Genomic DNA, 7,866 nt, shown 5'->3' with positions numbered 1-7,866 from the left:
TCTTTAATGCTTTTTTTTGCAGAGACGGTGTCTCACTATGTTGCCAAGCTGGTCTTGAACTCCGGGGCTCAAGCAATCCAACCACTTCAGCCTCCCAACGTGAAGCCATTACAGGCTTGAGCCACTGCACCCAGCTTGTCTGTAGTTTTTAAAACAAAAACGGCCGGCGGTGGTGGCTCACGCCTGTACTCCCAGCACTTTGGGAGGCTGAGGCAGGTGGATCACGAGGTCAGGAGTTCGAGAGCAGCCTGGCCAAGATGGTGAACCCTGACTTCGTGATCCGCCCGCCTCGGCCTCCCAAAGTGTTGGGATAACAGGCGTGAGCCACTGGGGCCCGGCCCTGCCTTTTCTTTCTAATGGCACAAGCCCCATGGAGTGTGGTGCGCCTGATCTCCGAAGCTTTTGTACAGTGTAGAAAGTGTTGCTGTCTGTATTTAATTTTTTCCTACATGTATGGTTTCGATCGATCACAAGAAGATCAATAAGCCCCTCTCCTTATTCTACTTCCCTTTCTAGCAACGGAGAACTTTGATTGGATTTTTCCTGCCTACAGACAGGAATGAGTCTGCTGTTTTCTTTTTTAAACCCGAGGGACTGAGCCTGAGGGCCTCCAGCGCGGCCACCCTCCCCCAACCCCCAACTGGTGATTGTGGTGGTTGTGGTGGTGGTGGTGGTGGTGGTGGTTTTGTGTTCCAGCTTCTGTTCTGCTGTTGTTGTTGTTGTTGCTGCTGCTGCTGGTGCTGTTGTTGTTGTTTTGGTATTTTACAGACTCAGGGGGTGTATGTGCTTGTTTGTTAGATCGGCATACTACTGCCTTCGGATGTAGAAGTGGACCTCCTGTGTATCCGATACCTATGTGGTGAATGTTGTCTCCGACGGGTGATTTATTCATCCCTTGTCCCCCTCTTACCCTCCTCCTCCCCTTTGGAGTGTCTGTTATTTCCATCATGATGACCGTGTGAGTACCCACTGTTTATCTCCCACTTGTTAGTAGAAGGCAGTTCACTGGGTACATACTTGCTTCCAGCTCTATCCATGTTGTGGGAAAAGACGTGAAATCACTCTTTTTTGTGCCTGCACCTTTGGAGAATTTTAACTTTCTTGGTGCTTGTTTTTCTTTTCTTTTCTTTTCTTTCCTCCTCCTCCTCCTCCTTCTTTTTTTCATTTTTTTCAGCTGGGTTCTCCTACTTGTGTTGCTCAGTTGCTCGGGCTGGTCTCAAACTCCTGGCCTTGACACTTCTCCCAACACATCCACCGTCTGGTTGTTGAAATGAGCATCTCTTGTAAAATTGAAAAGATGAAAAAAATAAAGAGAAAGACAAAAAGCACGGGGTGAACGTTTCTCTTGCCACCACCCAGGGTGTACCTTGGACCCGATAGGAGGGAGGGAGCTTGGCTGAGTGGGTTTTCGGTGCTAAATCCTCCCGAGGGCCTCCTTCCCTCTCCCCCTTGTCTCCGCTTCTCCCCCAGCCAAGTCTCCCACCGCCTCTGTGGGATTTTCCATGGGAGAGGTATGGGAGAGGACTGACGCGGCTTCCAGATCTATACACTGCCAGACGTCTCTGGCTCAGCGTCCCCCACCGGCTGCCTGCCACCTTCCAGGGAGTTCTGAGGCCGATGCCCCGCCCCCCTTCACATCCCTCCACCCTCCCCTGGCTGGCCTTTGCCCGGCGACCCCAAGGGAACTGCGTTGACGCTGCTTTCAAATCCTCCAGCGAAGACTTCCACCAGATGCCTCGGGTGGGCCGGATGGGATGAGACTGGACCACCCCGGACCGTGCTGTTCTTGGGGGTGGGTTGACGTACAGGGTGGACTGGCAGCCACAGCATTGTAAAGGGTACCCAGGTATGGAAATGTCACATAGGATGCCCTCCTTCCCGTCAGCCTACCTTCAGCTTCCTCAGGCATGAAGACAACTTCCCATCAGAAGCTCTTTTCTTCCCTTTCTCCACCACACAGATGAGATGCATGAGAGGGAGAAACAGCTCAATAGATACTGCTGACCTTCATTTGTGGAATCCTCAGTCATCTACAGACAGAGAGGTGACTAGACAGGGACCCAAATCAAACACCATTTCTCGGTCCTCACTGTGGGGTTGGTCTCTCCCTCTCTCTCTCTCTCTCTCTCTCTCTCTCACACACACACACACAATTTCCACATCTAGTTCACAAACCACACTAATTTACCCTTTCACAGTACGCAGTCTGAGTAAAACCCACTCCACCCTCCACCCGGCAGCTGACGAAACTCCATCTCTACAATTTATAAAAAAGATTATCTGCGCTGGGCACAGTGGCTCACACCTGTCATTCCAGCACTTTGGGAGGCCGAGGCAGGTGGATCACTTGAGGCCAGGAATTCAAGACCAGGCTGGCCAACATGGTGAAACCCCATCTCTATGAAAAATAGAACAATTAGCCAGGCCTGGTGACATAAGCTTGTAATCACAACTACTCAGGAGACTGAGGCGGGCAAGTTGCTTGAACCAGGGAGGCCGAGGTTGCAGTGAGCTGAGATCATGCCATGGCAATTATTGAGACAGAGCGAGACTCTGTCTCAATAATAATTATAATATTATTGTAAGATTATTTTTGAATGCTGATCCCCGCCTGTAGTCGCAGCTACTCGGGAGGCTGAGATAAGGAGAAGATCACTTGAGGCCCCACAGGTCGAGGCTTCAGTCAGCTGTATCCTGGGCAGTCACCAGTCAAGGAGATATGCCCCTCCCCGTTTTCTTTTCTTTTCTTTTCTTTTCTTTTCTTTTCTTTTCTTTTCTTTTCTTTTCCTTTTCTTTTCTTTTCCTTTTCTTTTCTTTTCTTCTTTTTTCTTCTCTCTTCTTCTCCCTCCCTCCCTTCCTTCCTTTCTTTCTTCTTTCTTTCTTTCTTTCTTTCTTTCTTTCTTTCTTCTTTCCTTTCTTTTTTCCTTCTTTCTTTCTTTCTTTCTTCTTTCTCTCTTTCTCTCTTTCTTTCTCTTTCTTTCTCTTTCTTTCTTTCTTTCTTTCTTTCTTTTTTCTTTCTTTCTTTCTCTCTTTCTTTCTTTCTTTCTTTCTTCCTTTCCTGCCTGACTGCCTTCCTGCCTTTCTTCTTTCCTCCATTCCTCCCTTCCTTCTTTCCTCCCTCCTCAGCCTCCCAAAGTGCCAGGATTACTGGTGTGAGGCACCATGCCTGCTTGGCCTAAAGAGACACCCTTTGGAAGTAAGACACAGACAGTGCCTTCCAGTGATCTGATTGATTGATTGACTGATTTAGAGATAGCGTCTCGCTCTGTCACCCTGGCAGTGGTGCCATCATAACTCACTCACTGCAGTGTGGACGCTCCTGGACTCAAGCGATCATTTCACCTCAGCCTCCAGAGTAGAGTACCTGGGACCAGAGGCACGCGCCACTGTGCCCAGATCATTTTTATTTATTTATTTATTTATTTATTTATTTTTCCCAAGACAGAGTTTTGCTCTTGTTGCCCAGACTGGAGTGCAATGGCGCGATCTTGGCCCACCACAACCCCTGCCTCCCGGGTTCAAGCGATTCTCCTGCGTCAGCCTCCCGAGTAGCTGGGATTGCAGGCATGCGCCACCACATCTGGCTGATTTTGTATTGTTAGTAGAGACGGGGCTTCTCCATGTTGGTCAGGCTGGTCTCGAACTCCCGACCTCAGGTGATCCGCCCTCCTCGGCCTCCCAAAGTGCTGGGATGGCAGGTGTGAGTCACTGCGCCTGGCCTTCATTTTTAAATGTTTTTCCACAGACAGGGTCTCATCATTTTGTTGCAACCCTCCTGACCTAGCGTCTCAAAGTGCTGGCGTGACGGGCGCAAGCCACTGCACCTGGACTCCGGGGAATGATTCACGACCACGACCACTGTACTAATTCTTTCTTTCTTTCTTTCTTTCTTTCTTTCTTTCTTTCTTTCTTTCTTTTATTTTTTTTATGATTTGATTGATTGATTGATTGATTGATTTTGAGACGGAGTCTCGCTCTGGTCGAGGCGAGGCGGGGCGAGGTGCATCACTTTGGAAGCCGCAGCACCGCCTTCTAAAGCCCCATTCAAATGCACAAAGCCCTATTCCCTTCCTGGAGTTGGAGCTGATGCCTTCCATCGTCTTGGGCTTCTCTCCATTCAGAAGCTTTTACAGGCGCAACCCCACCCAGAGGCTGGCTGCGGCTGAGGATTAGGGGGAGTGGTGGGGCTGGAAACTCGGTCGCCTATTGTTGCAAGCTCAGCCAAGACATCCCCCGATCCCCATCGCTTGCTCACCCTTTGAGATCCCCTGACTCCACCGCCTTGGAGGCTGACCTCTTACTTTAATTTGTCTTTCTTCCTTTCCTGCGTTTGAGGAGAGGGTGCAGGAATGAGGGTGTGTGTGGGGAGGGGGTGTGGGGTGGGGACGGAGGGGAGCGTCCTAAGGTTCGATTTAGTGTCATGCCTCTTTCACCGTCACCACCGAAGATGAAAGCAACAATCAGCTAAATACCGCGTGTTCTCATCCATAAGTGGGAACTTATAGATGAGAGTTCTGTGTGGGCAGAACGAGGGGGACCAGAGACGCGGGAGCCTACTTGAGGGAGGAGGGGTGGAAGGAGAGACAGCTTCAGGAAAAAACAAAACAAAACAAAACATGAAAACTGTCGAGTACTGCGCTGAGTATCCGGCTGATAAAATCATCTGCACACTGAACCCCCCCGTCATAAGTTTACCTATGTAACAATCTTGCACATGTATGTTTGAACAAGAAATGAAAGTTAGGGGAGAAAGAGAGAGAGAGGGAGAGAGAGAGGGAGAGAAGGAAAGAGAGAGAGAGAGAAAGAAGTGAAACGAAACAGCACCTCCTGGACCTGAGTCAGGGGGTTTCCGGCCTTTTGGGGGAACATTCAGCGACAATGCAGTATTTGGGCCTGTTCTTTTTTTTTCTTCTTTTCTTTTTTTTGGACTGAGTCTCTCTCGCTCTGTCACCCAGGCTGCGGTGCAGTGGTGCTCTCTCGGCTCACTGAAACCTCTGCTTCCCGGGTTCCAGTGATTCTTCTTCGGTAGCTGGGATTACAGGCGCGCACCACGACAGCAGGCTATTTTTTCTATTTTTAGTAGAGAAGGGGTTGTTCTATGTTGGCCACGTTGGTATTGAACTCCTGACCTCAAGTGATCCACCTTTCTGGGCCTCCCAAAGTGCTGGGACGACAGGCCTGAGCCGCCGGGATTTCAGCCTTTAAAAGCACAGGCCCAGACACTTTTCGCTGTGGCCCTTACACTCAGAATGACGTGTCTTCTCTGCCATAGGTTAACTCCTTGAATCCCCTATGCCATTGCACTCTAGCCTGGGCAGGAAGAGCGAAACTCTGTCCCCCCACCTTCCCGTGCAAAAAAAAAATAAAAATAAAAATAAATAAATAAATAAATAAAATCTCTACACATGACCTGTAAGTGTGTATTCCCATGAGTGATTTCTAAGAAATGGCACCGTACACTGAACGCAGTGGCCCACGTCTGTCATCCCAGCACTTTGGGAGGCCGAGGTGGGTGGTTCACGAGGTCAGGAGTTCGAGACCAGCCTAGCCAACATGGTGAAACCCCGTCTCTACTGAAAATACGAAACTGAGTCGGGCGCAGTGGGGCAGGCACCTGTAATCCCAGCTACTCGGGAGGTTGAGGCGGGAGAATCGCTTGAACCTCGCAGGCGGAGATTTCAGTGACCCGGGATGGCACCACTGCATTACAGCCTGGGCGACAGAGTGAGACTTCGTCTCCAAATAAATAAATAAATAAATGAAAGAAAGAAAAGAAAAGAAAAGAAAAGAAAAGAAAAGAAAAGAAAAGAAAAGAAAGAGAAAATGAAAGAAAAAGCACTGTATTGCTACTGGGCTAGGATCTTCTCTCTGTCTGTTTATCTCTGTCTCTCTCTGTCCGTCTCTGTCTTTCTCTATCTGTCTCTTTCTCTGTCTGTCTGTCTCTTTCTTTATCTCTGTCTCTGTCTCTCTCTCTCTGCCTGTCTCATGGTGTCTGTCTTCTAACTCTCTTTCTCTGCCTGTCTGTCTCTCTATCTCTCCCTCCCTCTCTGTTTCTCTCTCTCTGTCTCTCTATTTCTTTTTCTGAGTCTCTCTCTCTCTCTCTCACTCTCTCTCTCTGTCTCTCTCTCTATGTCTATCTTCTGTCTTACTCTCTTTCTCTACCCATCTGTCTCTCTCTCTGTCTGTCCCTCTCCCTCCCTTTCTGTCCCTCTCTCTCTCACTCTCACTCTCTCTCTGTCTCTCTCTCTTTCTGTCTGTTTCTCTCTGTCTCTCTCTCCATCTCTGTCTGTCTCTCTTTCTCTCTGTCTCTGTCTGTCTCTCTCTGCCTGTCTCTCTCACTGTGTCTGTCTTCTGCCTTATTCTCTTCCTCTGCCTGTCTCTCTCTCTCCTTCCCTGCCTTTCTGTTTCTCTCTCTCTCTCTGTCTCTCTCTGTGTTTGTTTCTCTCTGTCTGTCTCTGTCTGTCTCTTCCTCTGTCTGTCTGTCTCTCTCTTTCTTTTTTTTTTTTTTTCCAGATGTAGTCTCACTGTGTCGCCCAGGCTGGTGTGCAGTGGCGCCATCTTGGCTCACTGAAAGCTCCACCTCCCAGGTTCACGCCATTCTCCTGCCTTAGCCTCCTGAGTAGCTGGGACTATAGGCGCCCACCACCAAGTCAGGCTAATTTTTTGTATTTTTAGTAGAGACGGGATTTCACCATGTTAGCCAGGATGGTCTCGATCTCCTGACCTCGTGATCCGCCCGCCTCGGCCTCCCAAAGTGCTGGGATGACAGGAGTGAGCCACCGCGCCAGGACTGTCTCTATCTTTCTCTCTCTCTCTCTCTCTCTCTGTGTCTATCTTCTGTCTTACTCTCTTTCTCTGCCTGTCTCTCTCTCTCTCCCTGTCTGATTCTCTCCCTCTGTCTCTCTCGCTCTCACTCTCTCTCTGTCTCTTCTTTTGCTTTTTCTCTCTGTCCGTCTCTGTCTGTCTTTCTCTGTCTGTCTTTTTCTTTCTCTCTGTCTCTGTCTCTCTCTCCCTCTGCCTGTTTCTCTCACTGTGTCTGTCTTCTGTCTTACTCTCCTTCTCTGCCTGTCTGTCTCTCTCCCCCTGTCTTTCTGTTTCTCTCTCTCTCTCTATCTCTCACTCTCTCCATCTCTCTCTTTGTTTCTCTTTGTCTGTCTCTGTCTCTCTGTCTGTCTGTCTGTCTCTCTCTCTGTCTCTCTCCCTCCCTGTCTGTCTGTTTCTCTCTCTTTCTCTCTTTCTGTTTCTCTCTGTCCATCTCTGTCTTTCTCTGTCTCTTTCTTTCTCTCTGTCTCTGTCTCTCTCTTTCTCTGCCTGTTTCTCTCACTGTGTCTATCTTCTGTCTTACTCTCTTTCTCTGCCTGTCTGTCTGTCTCTCTCTCTCCCTCCCTTTCTCTCTCTCTCTCCGTCTCTCTCTCTTTCTGTTTCTCTCTGTTTCTCTGTTTGTCTCTGTGTGTCTGTCTGTCTGTCTCTCTCTCTCTCCCTCCCTGTTTCTCTCTCTGTCTCTGTCTCTCTCTCTCTCTCTCTGTTTGTTTCTCTCTGTCCATCTCTGTCTTTCTATGTCTGTCTCTTTCTCTGTCAGTCTGTCAGAGCCCCTGTGCCGGGGAGGGCCCTGCCCCTTCCACGAAAGTGAGAAGCGCCTGCTTAGAGAGGCCGAGAGGAATCTGGACAGATGGGCCTTGCTAGGCTTCGCCACTCGGTGTATGATTTCAGGAGGTCGAGGCCGGGTGCCCACTTGGATGGAAGGTGCATTTTCAAACTTTTCTCTCTGTCACGTGTGGCGTCCCTACTTCTCGTATTTCCCTGATAAGCTCCTCGACTTAAAAATACACGGTTAAGGCCGGGCGCCGTGGCTCACGTCTGTCATCC

General features: G+C 49.3%; 1 annotated feature.

The window, feature by feature from the left end:
* Positions 1–7,866: part of a centromere (Linear centromere model derived predominantly from reads generated in PMID: 17803354. This region does not represent an actual centromere sequence, as long-range ordering of repeats and unmapped WGS contigs is not provided by the model. For details of model production, see http://arxiv.org/abs/1307.0035.) that runs on past both edges of the window.

The sequence above is a fragment of the Homo sapiens genome, chromosome 20, assembly GCF_000001405.40.
Source record: "Homo sapiens chromosome 20, GRCh38.p14 Primary Assembly".
In the NCBI taxonomy this organism is placed as follows: domain Eukaryota; kingdom Metazoa; phylum Chordata; class Mammalia; order Primates; family Hominidae; genus Homo; species Homo sapiens.
Note: the sequence above shows the minus strand (reverse complement) of the source record. Positions and strands in the feature narration are given on the sequence as shown.